This window comes from Homo sapiens, chromosome 12 (genome assembly GCF_000001405.40).
Source record: "Homo sapiens chromosome 12, GRCh38.p14 Primary Assembly".
Classification (NCBI taxonomy): Eukaryota; Metazoa; Chordata; class Mammalia; order Primates; family Hominidae; genus Homo; species Homo sapiens.
The window spans coordinates 110,746,837-110,762,591 of record NC_000012.12 but is presented as its reverse complement, the minus strand read 5'-3'; positions in this window follow the sequence as shown (position 1 = coordinate 110,762,591).

The following is a 15,755-nucleotide window of genomic DNA, read 5'->3' as shown; positions in this document are numbered from 1 at the left end:
TAATTTTTCTATTTTTAGTATTTTTAATAGAGATGGGGGTTTCATCATGTTGGCCAGGCTGGTCTAACTCCTGACCTCAGGTGATATCCCCACCTCAGCCTCCCAAAGTGTGAGCCACCGCACCCAGCCGATTTTTTTTTATTTTTAATTGTTGCTTACCACCTAGAATAGGGCTTGGCAGGTAGCAGGTGCTCAATAAATTTTTTTTAATAGAAAAATAAAGAGTACTGGCTGAGCACAGTGGTTCACGCCTGTAATCCCAGCACTTTGGGAGGCTGAGGCAGCCAGATCACCTGAGATCAGGAGTTCGAGACTAGCCTGGCCAACATGGTGAAACGCTTTCTCTACTAAAAATACAAAAATTAGCTGGGCGTGGTAGCGGGCACCTGTAATCCCAGCTACTGGGGAGGCTGAGGTGGAAGGATTGCTTGAGACCCAAAGGTCAAGGCTGCAGTGAGCCAAGATTGTGACACTGCACTGCAGCCTGGGCAACAGAGTGAGATTCTGTCTCAAAAAAAAAAAAAAAGAAAAAAAAAATCATAAATGTAAAATCAGTGTCACGTGCCATAAATAGAAGATAATTGTAAATATATACACTTTGAAGGCCAGTTTTCTTACATTCAGACTGGGTATTTTCACACCTTCTAACGACTGGACTTGAGGTCTACTTTCTCTTTGTTAAAAAGAGATTACCGGCCAGGCGCGGTGGCTCACACCTGTAATCCCAGCACTTTAGGAGTTCGAGGCAGGCAGATCACTTGAGGTCAGGAGTTGAAGACCAGCCTGGCCAACATGGTGAAACCCCGTCTCTACTAAAATACAAAAAAAGCCAGGCATGGTGGTGGGCACCTGTAATCCCAGCTACTGAGGTGGCTGGGGCAGGAGAATCACTTGAACCTGGGAGGCAGATGTTGCAGTGAGCTGAGATCATGCCACTTCACTCCAACATGGGCAACAGAGTAAGACTCCGTCTCAAAACAAAAACAAAAACAAAAACAAAAACTTATTAGCATCAGGCTGGGTGCAGTGGCTCACGCCTGTAATCCCAGCACTTCAGGAGACCGAGGTGAGCAGATCACTTGAGGTCAGGAGTTTGAGACAAGCCTGGCCAAAATGGTGAAACTCTGTTGCTATTAAAAACACAAAAATCAGCCAGTGGTAGTGGTGGGTGCCTGTAGTCCCAGCTACTCAGGAGGCTGAGGCAGGAGAATCGCTTAAACCCAGGAGGCCAAGGTTGCAGTGAGCTGAGATCACACCACTACACTCCAGCCTGGGCGACAGAGGGAGACTCTGTCTCAGAAACAAAACAAAACAAAACAAAAAAACTTTATTTGTCTCAGAAACAAAACAAAACAAAACAAAAAAAAAGAAAGCAATGATACTTTCTCCTTAAAGTAATCATTGCTTCTAATTAAAATATTAAATTAAATTTAAAAATATATCACTGCTCTAAAGCAAGCACCGTCTGATGAGGGTCATGGGCCCACCACATTTTTGTAAATAAAGTTTTATTAGGAAACAACCACACTCATTCATTCTTTGATGTATTGTCAAAGACTGCTTTCATGCTACATTGGCAGATGAGTATTCATGACAAAGACCACTGGGCCTGCAAAAGTCAAAAATATTTTCTATCTGGAGCTTTACAGAAAAAGTTACCATCTCCTGCTCTAAATCATGTCACACTCAAATTCTCTGGTGTATGGAATTTTATGACCTTATAGAAGGAAGCATCACCTTTTCATAGAAAGTCCATAGCAAGCTGAAAGGGCCAAACTGCCCTGCCATCCCATTTGTGTGGAGGCAGGCTCTTCAGATGCTAAATCTACCCCCAGCTTTCCGAAGGCAAGTGGTGAGGTGAGGAGCATGGACACCAAGCCCCCGGCAACTTCACTCTGAGCCAGAAGCAGCATCTTGCTGTGGGTCTTGCTGGATGGTAGAATTATGTGTGATTTCATCCTTTCCACGTTTCCATGTTTTCTAAATATTTAACACATTATATTTGTCTGCTAGAGCTTTCACAACAAAATACCACAAGCCAGGTGGCTTAAGCAACAGAAATTTATTTCCTCGCAGTTCTGGAAGCTGGAAGTCCAAGACGAAGGTGTCAGCAGGGCAGTTTCATTCTGAGGCTCTCTCCCTGGCTTTAGATGACCGTCTTCCACCTGTCTTCACAGGGTCTTCTTCTGTGTGTGTTTGCTGTGTTCTAATCGCTCTTTTTTTTTCTGCTCTGTCACCCAGGCTGGAGTGCAGTGGTGCAATCATGACTCACTGCAGCCTTGATCTCCCAGACTCAAGTGACACTCTCAAGTGAGCCACCATGCCTGGCCCCTAATCTCTCTTCTTTCTTCTTTCTTTAGTCACCTGAGTAGCTAGGGCCATAAGCCATAGGCACACATCACCACACCAGGCTAATTTTTTTTTTTTTTTTTTTTTTAGAGATGGGGTCTCACCATGTTGCCCAGGCTGGTCTCAAACTCCTGGGCTGAGGCAATCCTCCTGCTTCAGCCTCCCAAAGTGCTGGGATTAGGATTACAGGCATGCACCACCATGCCTGGCCTAATGTGTCTTCGCTCTGTCACCCAGGCTGGAGTGCAGTGGCGCGATCTCAGCTCACAGCAAGGTCCACCTCCCCAGTTCACACCATTCTCCTGCCTCAGCCTCCCAAGTAGCTGGGACTACAGGTACCCGCCACCATGCCCCGCTAATTTTTTTTTTTTAAATAGAGATGGGGTTTCACTGTGTTAGCCAAGATGGTCTCGCTCTCCTGACCTCATGATCTGCCCACCTCGGCCTCCCAAAGTGCTGGGATTACAGGCATGAGCCACCACACCCGGACCCTAATCTCTCTTCTTATAAGAACGTCATTCATATTGGATTAGGGCCTACCCTAATGACCCCAATCTAACTCAGTCACCTCTTCCAAGGCCTTATCTCCAAATACAATCACATCCTGAGGTTCTAGGGGTTAAGACTTCAACCTTGGAATTTTGGGAGGATGCAGTTCAGCCCATAGCACATATTGTATTTGCATTATTCAAACATGGACAGTAAACTGCTAAAAATTTTTAAAAGGTAGACCAAAAATCATGACCAACATTTTAATCTGAAATTTTTATTATGTAAGTAATATCTGTCTGATACTTTTAAAACAATTCAAAGAGTATAGAAGATAACAAGGGGAACACCAGCACCTATTCCCAGCCAGCCACACTCCCCACTGTTGACATTTTGTGTATATCCTGCCAGAAATTTTCTTTTTGTTAAATTTATTTTTATTGTTGAGATTTTTATTTTATTGTTGAGGTCTCGCTATGTTGAGATTACAGGCGTGAGCCACTGCACAGGGTCTTGCTATGTTGCCCAGGCTGGTCTTGAAAACCTGGGCTCAAGCGATCAACCTGCCTCAGCCTCCCAAAGCGCTGGGATTGCAGGTGTGAGCCACTCTGCCCAGCCCCCTACCGGAAATTTTCTCTGCCTAGACAAGGATATATAACCACCTCATACTTTTTTATTTTACACAAACAGGTTTATGACTTATATACTGCTCTGCAACGTGACTTTTTACACTGAACAATAAATAAATCATTGTATATTTTCAAAGCCTGTCATACATCTCAGTGCCTGCTTCTGGAAAACCCAACTTGCAACAGGTTATTTTGTTTTTATCTTTAAACATAAGCACAAAACAAAGAAATAAACAGCAACAAATACATAGAATGAGTATGAAAGGAGAGGGATGATTATTCTTTTAATTTTTATTTACCTTGGTGATGTTGCCATGCTGATTTTGGACTTTGGAAAATTAAATCAATAATGAGCCATTTGTTTCCCTCTCCCACTCCCACTGTCAAAATAATTAAGATTTTTTTTTCCAGCCTTAACTCCCTCGGGTGGTTTCTCTTCCTTAATCTATAAAGCAGCAAAGTCAAAAAGAGACTGTCCCTTGCCCCGGCGGCTGCAGTGATGGGCACTCTTGGGCCAGAGAGAGGCCTGTTCTGCCCCGTGAGATGGCCCACAAATGGCCTTTCTTCCTCCTAGAAACAGCCATCAGCTCCCAGGCCCTGCCAGGCCTGTGATGTGAGGTGAATAGCAAGGTTCCCACGCATACCCACTGGGAGCCCAGTGCTGTGTTAAGCTCTTACCTGCATTACTTCATTCAATTCTTCCCCAACTATTATCCCAATTTTACAACTATAATGTTGTGTTTTTGTTGTTTTTTGTTTGTTTGTTTTTGAGATGGAGTCTCGCTCTGTTGCCCAGACTGGAGTGTAGTGGCGTGATCTCGGCTCACTGCAACCTCCACCTCTCGAGTTCAAGTGATTCTCCTGTCTCAGCCTCCCGAGTAGCTGGGATTACAGGCACGTGCCACCACACCTGGCTAATTTTTGTATTTTTAGTAGAGACGGGGTTTCACCATGTTGGTCAGGCTGGTCTCGAACTCCTGACCTCATGATCCGTCAACCTAGGCCTCCGAAAGTGCTGGGATTACAGGCGTGAGCCTGCACCTGGCCCATTTGTTTATGTTTATTCAACTTTTTTTGTTGTTATTTTAGAAACAGAGTTTCACTCTATCACACAAATTGGAGAGCAGCGGCATGATCACTGTTCACCGCATCCTTGACTTCTGGGCTCAAGCGATCCTCCTGCTTCGGCTTCGTAAGTAGCTGGTACTACAGTGCACCCACCCCACCTGGCTAATTTTAAATTTTTTTGTAGAGACAGGGTCTCACTATGTTGCTAGGCTGGTCTTGAGCTCCTAGCCTGAAGCCATTCTTCCACCTTGGCCTCCCTAAGTACTGGGATTTACAGGCATGAGCCACCATGCCTGGCCTATTCAAGAATTTTTTACTGAATACCTTGTATGTGCCAGGCACGGGCCCAGGCACAAAAGCAAGAATAGCAAGCAGACAAAAATCCCCACCCACGTGGAAACAGAAAACAGGCAATCAAAGACATAACACAATGTCAGGCAGTGAAGAATCACATGGAGAAAAACAGAAAAATGGGAAGGGGGCTGGGTGCAGTGGTTCATGCCCATAATCCCAGCACTTTGGGAGACAAAGACAGGAGGATTGCTTGAGCCCAGCAGTTCGAGACCGGCCTGAACAATATAGTGAGACTCTGTCTTTACAAAAAAAAAAAATTTTTTTTTTTGAGACAGTTTTTCACTCTTGTTGCCCAGGCTGGAGTGCAATGGAGCAATCTCGGCTCACTGCAACCTCTGCCTCCCGGGTTTAAGGGGTTCTCTTGCCTCAGCCTCCCGAGTAGCTGGGATTACAGGCATGCACCACCACACCCAGCTAATTTTTTTAAGTAGACACGGGGTTTCACCACATTGGCCAGGTTGGTCTTGAACTCCTGACCTAAAGTGTTCCATCCGCCTCGGCCTCCCAAAGTGCTGGGTTTACAGGCATGAGCCACCGCGCCAGGCCCAAAAATTTTAAAATTAGCCGAGTGCAGTGCTCTGTGCTTGTGGTTCCAGCTACTCAGGAGGCCGAGGCTGCAGAATCACTTGAGCCTGGGTGGATGAGGTTACCGTGAGCCCTGATCGTGCCACTGCACTCCAGTCTGGGTGACTGTACCAAACCCTGTTTCAAAAAGAAAAAGTGTGATGGAAGGATTGAGGGCTAGGGAGCATTTTATTCCGGTGGTCAGGGAAACCCTCTCTGCCAGGGTGACAGTTGAACAGAGATCTGAATGGAATGAAGGAATAAATAGCTGGGGAAGAGCATTCCTGTGGAAGGAATGGCTCTAGGATGGGGGTTTGCTTGGGATGCTTCAGGCACAGCAAGGCCAGTGTGGCTCAAGGCAGGAGCAAGAAGGTGGAAGAGTTTGAGGTTGGAGATGAGTCAGAGACTCCCCTGGCTCCTGGGAGCCAGATGCCAGATGCTGCTGCCTGAAATTGGTAAGCTTGAAATTGATTGTGATGGGAGTATTAACACTATGAAAATTGGCAAAAGCTATAAATCAGGGCTTTTTTTTTTCCTTCTTCTTCTTGGAGCACTGACTTTTGTAGGTCGCAGTCAGGAGTTTGGATTTTATTCCAAGTTTGACAAGAAGCCATTGGACCTTTGGAGCAGGGAGTGACATCTTATTTCTGTTTCTGAGATCGTTCTGGGCTGTGCATGGAGAAGAGACAGTAGGCAGGCAAGAGAAGAAATCATTTAGTCCTCCCAGCAAGAGATGATGGTGGCTTGGACTTAAAGGGGTTGGATTTAGGCCGGGCGCCGTGGCTCACACCTGTAATCCCAGCACTTTGGGAGGCTGAGGCAGGCAGATCACTTGAGGTCAGGAGTTCGAGATCAGCCTGGTCAACATGGTGAAACCCCGTCTCTACTAAAAATACAAAAATTAGCTGGGCATCGTGGCATGCACCTTTAATCCTGCTACTCGGGAGGCTGAGGCAGGAGAATCTCTTGAACCTGGGAGGCGGAGCTTGCAGTAAGCCGAGATTGTGCCATTGCACTCCAGCCTGGGTGACAAAGTGAGACTCTGTCTCAAAGAGAAAAAAAAAAAGGGCGGGGGGGGGTTGGATTTGGAATGTGTTTGGATTTACTGCTGGATAGGGAGTGTGAAGTGTGAGCAAGAGAGAGGCATGGAGAGATGCACCAAGGGTGATTGTGGCCTTTGCGTGTTCTGCTCATCTATTGTGCATAACAAAACACCTGGATGTTTGGTGGCTTAAAGCCATACCAGTTATTTATTGAGCTCATATATCTGTAATTGTACCAGGACTCTGTGGGGAAAGCTAACCTGTCCTGCTCAGCATCCCCTGGGAGGTTGGAAGGGTGCTAGAGTCATTTGAAAATTCTTCACTCACATGTGCAACGGTGGTGGATGCTGGCTGTTAACTGGGACCTCACCTGGGGCTGTCACCTAGGTCACCTACGCAGACGCTCTTCATGTGACCTTGGCCTCCTCCCAGCACTGCAGCAGGGTTCCAGGAGCAAGTATCCCAAGAAAACAGGAAAGCTGGATGGAAGCTATATTACCTTCTGAGACCAAGTCTCCAGAGCTGCATAGCATGACATCCACCGTACCCCATCCCGCAGGTAAGGGGAGGGACCATAGATTCCATTTCTTGCTAGGGGAGTGGTAAGGTTCTAGAAGAACATGTGAGACTGGAAATACTGTCATGGCTAATTTTAGAAAATACGGAAAATACAATCCCCATATTATGTGTCTGGTCGCAGGCGAAGCACACCCTTACATTATTTCATTCCATTCTGTACTATCTTTATAGATGACAAAACTGAAGCTTGGAGATGTCACATCACCTGCCCAAAGCCACCCAACCACTAAGGGGACAGAACTGGAGTTTGATTCCAGTAGTCTGATTCCATGTAACTGGCAAGAACCTGGCCAAGCCAAATGCAGCCAAACAAGACTTGGAAGTGGCAGAGAATGGTCTTCCGAGGTTAACCCAGAGAGTGGGCAGCCAGAGATGAGAGCTGCCTGCTCTGGGCCTACTCACAGCCTCTGGCCTCTCTAGGGTTAGCCTTAGTCTCCCAACTGGCTCTAAGGCCATGATTTTATTCTAATTTCAAGGCTATAAGAACATGAGGCCATGCCTGTAATCTCAGCAGTTTGGATGGCTAAGGCAGGAAGATCGCCTGAGCCCAGGAGTTCGAGACCAGCCTGGCCAACAGAGTGAGACCCCTTCTCTACAAAAAAAACTTTTGAAATTTACAGGGTGTAGTGGCACGTGCCTGTGGTCTCAGCTATTTAGGAGGCTGAGGTAGGAGGATTGCTTGAGCCCAGGAGGTTGAGGCTGCAGTGAACCAAGATCATACCACTATACTCCAGCCTGGGCAATACAGAGAGAACTTGCAAAGAAGAAGAAGAAGAGGAGGAGGAGGAGGAGAAGGCAAGGAGGAAGAAGGAAGAAGAAGTTTGAACACACATAAGCAGAAAAGACAATTTGCCCTGAGCAGGCCCTGGAAGCCTATTCTTGGCTCTGGAGGGCCCTAAAATCTGGATGGAGCTTCCCTGCAGGGTTGGGTGCAGGCCAGTATGTGGGCAGATGGAAGGGATGGTGGAAAGCACTTATTCCAGAAATCATCAATGTGGGGCTTAGATGCCCAGCAAGGGAACTGGAAGGCTAGATGTTCCAGTTCCAGCTGTCTAAAGACAGCTTTCTAAGTCAAGCCAGTAGCCCCTTTATTTTGATCAATATTTCCTAGGAGAAAAGGCCGGGTCAGTGCAGAAACTTAGATGGTCTCTGGGGACCACTGGTTTCTCTGCCCAGTGGCCGATCATCAACTTCCGCTGTGAACAGCTTTCAGTAGTTTTCCAGAGTGCTGGCAAGGAAGACTTGACTTGAGGATTGGACACCAGGAAAATTGCCAGAATAATGTGTGTGTGTTGGGGGGGTTATAACAGGATGTGTTTATTTTGTTTGTTTGTTTTTTGTGTTTTCTTTTCCCTTTGCTTTTTTGTTTCTTTTCTTTTTGGAAACCATCTCAAACAGTATATTTATTTCTTGATAAACTATCTCAGGCATTAAAATGATAGATAATACAAACACTGGAAATAACCCAAATGCCTGCCAACAGGTGAATGGATGGACATATTCTTTTTGTTGTTGTTGTTGTTGTTTGAGACAGGGTCTCAGTTGCCCACGCTGGAGTGCAGTGGCACAATCACAGCTCACTGCAGCCTCCACATCCTGGGCTCAAGGCCTCCTGCCTCAGCCTCCTGAGTAGTTAGGACTACAGGTGTGGGCCACTACTTTTAGCCAAATTTTTTTTTTTTTTTTTTTTTTTTTAGAGACAGGGTTTCACTATGTTGCCGGGCTCCAAATAGGTGTCTTTTTTTAGATTCTCCTGCCTCAGCCTCCCGAATAGTTGGGATTACAGGCGCCCACCATGCCCAGCTAATTTTTGTCTTTTTAGCAGAGACAGGGTTTCACCATATTGGCCAGGCTGGTCTCAAACTCCTGACCTCAAGTGATCTGCCCACCTTGGCCTCTCAAAGTGCTGGGATTACAGGCGTGAGCCACCGTGCCTGGTCCATATTATTTTTTTAAAAAATAGGGATGGAATCTCACTATTGTGACCAGCCTGTCTCAAATTCCTGGCCTCAAGCCATTCTCCCATCTCGGCCTCCCAAAGTGCTGGGATTACAAGTATGAGCCACCGTGCCCAGCCTAAAATCTTTTTTTTTCCTTTCTTTTTTTTTTGAGACAGAGTCTAGCTTTGTCACCTACGCTGGAGTGCAGTGGCCAGGATCTTGGCTCACCACAACCTCTGTCTCCCAGGTTCCAGCAATTCTCCTGCCTCAGCTTCCTGAGTAGCTGGGATTACAGGTGTGTGCCAGCTAATTTTTTGTATTTTTCATAGAGACAGTTTTCACCATGTTGGCCAGGCTGGTATCAAACTCCTGACCTCAAATGATCTGCCTGCCTTGGCCTCCCAAAATGCTGGGGTTACAGGCATGAGCCACCATGCCCCGCCTAAAATATCTTTCTTAAAGCACATTGCGGCCCCCAAAAAGTTTGAAAACCCTGCCCTAAATATGTGACATTGTTTTCCCATTTTAAACTTTTATGTAAGTAGCATCATCCAGCCCAAATGCTTCCCCCAGCTGGCTTTTGCTTCATTGATATTAGCTTTGAGATGAATCCATGTTGATACACGTAGCTCAGTTTCCTTCCTTTCCATCACCGCCTAAACATGCTGCAAGTTATTTCTCCGTCATCCTATGATTGGATTTTTTTTTTTTTTTTTTTTTTTTTTGCCAAATGGGACATTTAAAAAATAGCTATCTCTCACTATTACCACCTTTCTTACTTGGAAGGACATTTTAATATAAATAAAGTCAGAATGTCCTGCTCTCAGAAGCAAAGCCGGTCTTTTAAACGAAATAAATCTGGCTTTATGAAAACTCATTCCACCTGCCCCTGAGGGTTAAGGCTGTTGGTTTTCTTCCTTGTTGACTGTTAGTTTGTTTATTAGATGTTGTAACCTAGTGAAAACATAGTCACCTACACAACAATATTAGGCTGCCTGGTGCTACCTCTGGGGAAGGAAAGGGGAAGCGAATAGGATGGAGATGGGATTCAAAGAGAGTAGACTGGGCATGGTGGCTCACGCCTGTAATCCCAGCACTTTGGGAGGCCAAGGTGGGTGGATTACTTGAGGTCAGGAGTTTAAGACCAGCCTGACCAACATGGCGAAACCCAGTCTCTACTAAAAATACAAAAATTAGCCAGGTGTGGTGGGCACCTGTAATCCCAACTACTTGGGCGGCTGAGGCAGGAGAATCGCTTGAACCTGGGAGGTGGAGGTTACAGTGAGCCAAGATCGCACCATTGCACTACAGCCTGGGCGACAGAGCAAGACTCCGTCTCAAAAAAAAAAAAAAAAAAAAAAGTGTCAACCATAATACTTCATTTCCTTTCTTACCTAAAAAAAAAATAAAGAAAAAAAACTAAGTCAAATATGGCCAAATGTTAACATTTGGAATCTCTGGAGTGTGAAGAGGGGTATCTATATGCAAGTACTTTAAGCTTTAAATAGTTCATTGCATTTTTTTCATTACCAATCTATACTTCGCTCCAAGTTCTAAATAGTTCATTACAATGTTTTTTTCTTTTTCTTTTTTTTTTTTTTTTGAGATGGAGTCTCACTCTGTCACCCAGGCTGGAGTGCAGTGGTGCTGTCTCAGCTCACTGCAGCCTCCACCTCTCAGGTTCAAGTGATTCTCCTGCCTCAGCCTTCTGAGTAGCTGGGACTACAGGCGTCCACCACCACACCCAGCTAATTTTTGTATTTCTAGTAGAGATGGGGTTTCACCATGTTGGCCAGGCTGGTTTCGAACTCCTGACCTCAGGGATCCACCTGCCTTGGACTCCCAAAGCGCTGCGATTACAGGCGTGAGCCACCGTGCCCAGCCAAAACATGTTTTTTAAGGAATGGGGTCTCACTACATTGTTCAGGCTAGTCTCAAACTCCTGGGCTTGAAGCAATCCTCTCACCTTGGCCTCCCAAAATGCTGGAATTACAGGTGTGAGCCACCACACTGGCCAGAAGACATCTTTTATTGTCATGATTGGAGAAGAGGGGCATGCTACTTGTATCTGGTGGGTAGAAATCAGGGATGCCGCTAAACACCATGTAGTACACAGGACAGAACCCGCTCGACAGAGAACGATCTAGCCCAAAACGTCAATAGCGCCCAGGTCAACAATCCCTGCTCTAAAGTGAGCCTCCCTTTGCCAGACTTTGTTCCAAATGGCAGTGCGATCCACCCTCCAGATGCTGGGATAGCTTGTTTCTTTCCCGACCACAGAGTGAGTCATTTTGTGATGCTAAGGAACATTTAGCAAGGCGATAATCATCCTAGTTTCACTGTTGGATAATTCCAGATGAAAGTGTATTTGGGGCCTTCTCAAAGAAAGACACACCCAACGACAATGAAGGCTCTGTGAAGGCCAAGGCTGGTGCAAGAGGTTTTGAACAGCCCATCTAAATCCCCCTGCTCCAAGAAGGCTCCTGGGAACATCCCAAAGAATCTGCTCTCCCTGATCCCTAAGAACATAACTTCTGTGTTTGGAGGAAGAAGTGTGACATCAGATTCCCTGGGTTTAAATCCTGGCTCTGGCCCTCCCCAGCTGGGTTATAAATTATTTCCCTTGGCGAAACCTAACTCCTAAAATAGTGTGAAGATTAAAATGAGCATGCATGCAGGGCGCAATGGCTCAAGCCTGTAATCCCAGCACTTTGGGAGGCTGAGACAGGAGGATCGCTTGAGCCCAGGAGTTCAACATCAGCCTGGGCAACATAGCGAGACCCTATCTCTACAAAAAAAAAAAAAAATCAGAAAAATTAGGGCAGGCATGGTGGCTCATGCCTGTAATCCCAGAATTTTGGGAGGCCGAGGCAGGTGGATCACCTGAGGTCAGGAGTTCAAGACCAGCCTACAAAAATATTAGCCAGGTGTGGTGGTGCATGCTTGTCCTCCCAGCTACTCTATACTCTGGAGGGTGAGGCAGGAGAATCGCTTGAACCCAGGAGGCAGAGGTTGCAGTGAACGGAGATCATGCCACTGCATTCTACCCTGGGTGACAGAGTAAGACTTCGTTTCAAAAATAAAATAAAATGAGCATGCATGAAAGGCCATGAGCATAGAGATTGGCACACAGAAAACACTCAATAAATGCCAGCTATTATCACTGTTATTGTCATCATTATTCCTGTTAGCACCCTAAGTACATTGGAAGATACATTCTCACGATCACATTCTGAGATGGGTAATAATGTCCCCATTTTGCAGATTAGAAAACTAAGACTAATCAGTAAAGCCACCATATATATATAATATATGTATACACACACACACACACGCACACACATATATACATTTACAAGTATAAATATATATACATTTACAAGTATAAATATATACATTTACAAGTATAAATATATATACATTTACAAGTATAAATATATATACATTTATAAGTATAAATATATATACATTTATAAGTATATATACGTTTATAAATATAAATATATATACATTTATAAACATAAATACATATATTTATATATATAAATATATAAAATGGACATTTACTTTATACATGTGTATACTTTATATTTTATACATATATACATATATGTATATATGTGTATACATACATACAGATGTGTGTGTATGTGTATACATACAGATGTGTGTATATGTGTATATATGTACATATATATGTATGTATGTGTATATATACACATATATACACATACATATATACATGTGTGTATATATATATATACACACACACACATATATATATTACACAATTTCACTCTGTCACCCAGGCTGGAGTGCAGTGCTGAAATCTTGGCTCACTGCAACCTCCGTCTCCTGAGTTCAAGAGATTCTCCTGCCTCAGCCTCTGGAGTAGCTGGGATTACAGGCACCCACCACCATGCCCGCCTAATTTTTGTATTAGATGTAGAGATGAGTTTCGCCATGTTGGCCAGGCTGGCCTCGAACTCCTGACCTCAAGTGATCCGCCTGCATCAGCCTCCCAAAGTGCTGGGATTACAGGCATGAGCCACCGCTCCCGGCTAAAGCCACATTTTTCAACAGCCTGCTCTCTAGTCTCATAGCTTCCTCTCCTTCTCACCTACAGTCCATTCTCCTCACGGAAACCAAAGAAATCTTTTAAAAATGTAGGCTGTGCGCGGTGGTTCACGCCTGTAATCCCAGCACTTTGGGAGGCCGAGGTGGGAGGATCACCTGAGGTCAGGAGTTCGAGACCAGCCAGGCCAACATTAGCCAGGCATGATGGCAGGTGCCTGTAATCCCAGCTGCTCGGGAGGCTGAGGTGGGAGAATCGCTTGAACCCGGGAGGTGGAGGTTGCAGTGAGCCGAGATCATGCCATTGCACTTCAGCCTGGGTGACAGAGTAAGACTCTGTCTCAAAAAAAAAAAAAATGCAATCAGAGCTAAGCATGGAGGTGTGCACCTATAGTCCCAGTTACTTGGGTAGGAAGTAACTGTCCAGGAGTTCGTGTCCAGCCTGGGCACCATAGTAAAACCTGATCTTGGCCAGGCTCGGTGGTTCACACCTATAATCCTAGCACTTTGGGAGGCCAAGGTGGGTGGATCACTTGAGGTCAGGAGTTCGAGACCAGCCTGATCAACATGTAGAAGCCCCGTCTCTACTAAAAATACAAAATTTGCTGTGCGTGGTGGCACATGCCTGTAATCCCAGCTACTTGGGAGGCTGAGGCAGGAGAATCGCTTGAACCTGGGAGGCGGAGGTTGCAGTGAGATGAGATCGCGCCATTGCACTCCAGCCTGGACGACAAGAGCGAAACTCCATCTCAGAAACAAAACAAAACAAAACCCGATCTTTCAAAACACATACACACAATCAGACCTTATTTTGAAGAAGATGCTCTCTGGGTTATATGTGATGTGATATTTTATGATCCATCATTTTTTTGTGGGGGAGACAGGGTCTCACTCTGTCGCCCCAGCTGGAATGCAATGGCACAGTCACAGCTCACTGCAGCCTCAACCTCCGGGGCTCAAGCAATTCTTCTGCCTCAGCCTCCTGAGTAGCTGGGAGTTATAGGTGCACACCACCAAGCCCGGCTAATTTTTTGTATTTTTTGTAGAGACAGGGTATTGCCATGTTGCCCAGGCTGTTCTCAAACTCCTGAGTTCAAGCGATCCGCCCATCTCAGCTTCCCAAAGTGCTGGGATTACAGGCATGAGCCACCACGCCCAGCCTGATCCACCATTTCTTTATGATTTAGGTGTTAGGAAATAATTATGAGCAATGCCTTGGCTGTTGATGTTAACATTAAGGGGAAACCTAAAGGCATATGGGAACTCTTTGTACCATCTTTGCTACATTTCAGTAAACCTAAAACTATTCCAAAATAAAAAGCTTATTTAAAAAAAACATGAGGCTGGGGGCGGTGGCTCACGCCTGTAATCCCAGCACTTTGGGAGGCCGAGACGGGTGGATCACTTGAGGTCAGGAGTTCAAGACCAGCCTGGCCAACATGGTGAAACCTCGTCTCTACTAAAAATACAAAAAATTAGCTGGGTGTTGTGGTGCATTCCTGTAATGCCAGCTACTAGGGAGGCTGAGGCAGGAGAATTGCTTGAATCCAGGAGGCAGAGGTTGCAGTGAGCCGAGATCATGCCACTGCACTTCAGCCTGGGCAGCAAAGTGAGACTCCGTCTCAAAAAAAAAAAAAACAACAAAAACATGAAGTCATGAAGTCAGGCTGGGCACAGTGGCTCATGCCTATAATCCCAGCACTTTGGGAGGAGGAGGCGGGCAAACCGCTTGAGCCCAGGAGCTCAAGACCAGCCTGGGCAACATAGCAAGACCACTGTCTCCACAAAAAACTTAAAAATTAGCTGGGTGTGGTGGTGTGCACCTGTAGTCCCAGTTACCTGGAAGGCTGAGGCGAGAGAATCACTTGGGCCTAGGAGGTCAAGGCTGCAGTGAGCCATGATATCACCACTGTAGTTTAGCCTGAGCAACAGGGCAAGACCCTGTCTCTAAAAAAAAAAGTGAAATAAGATCATGTTACTCCTCTACCTAAAACCCTGCAGTGACTTCCCATTAAGCTTAGAATAAAATCCGAACGTCTTCTTGTGGTTTAAAAGACCCTGAGTGGGCCGAGGCGGGCAGATCACCTGAGGTCAGGAGTTTGAGATTAGCCTGGCCAACATGGTGAAACCCTGTCTCTACTAAAAATACAAAAATTAGCCGGGGCATGGTGGCAGGCACCTGTAATCCCAGCTACTTGGGAGGCTGAGGCAGGAGAACCGCTTGAACCCGGGAGGTAGAGGTTACATGAGCCAAGGTCGTGCCATTGCACTCCAGCCTGGGCAACAAGAGAGAAAAAAAAACAAAAACCCTGAGTGATCTGGCCTCTGGCCACTTCTCCAATCCCCACCTTCTTCTTCTTTTTTTTTTTTTTTTTTGAGATAGAGTCTCTCTGTCACCCAGGCTGGAATGCAATGGCGCGATCTCGGCTCACTGTAGTCTCCACCTCCCGGGTTCAAACGATTCTCCTGCCTCAGCCTCCCAAGTAGCTTAGGATTACAGTCACCCGACACTACTCCCGGCTAAATTTCATATTTTTAACAGAGACGGTGTTTGACCATGTTGGCCAGGCTGGTCTCAAACTCCTGACCTCAAGTGATCTGCCTGCCTCGGCCTTCCAAAGTGCTAGGATTACAGGCGTGAGCCACCGCGCCCAGCCTTCCAACCC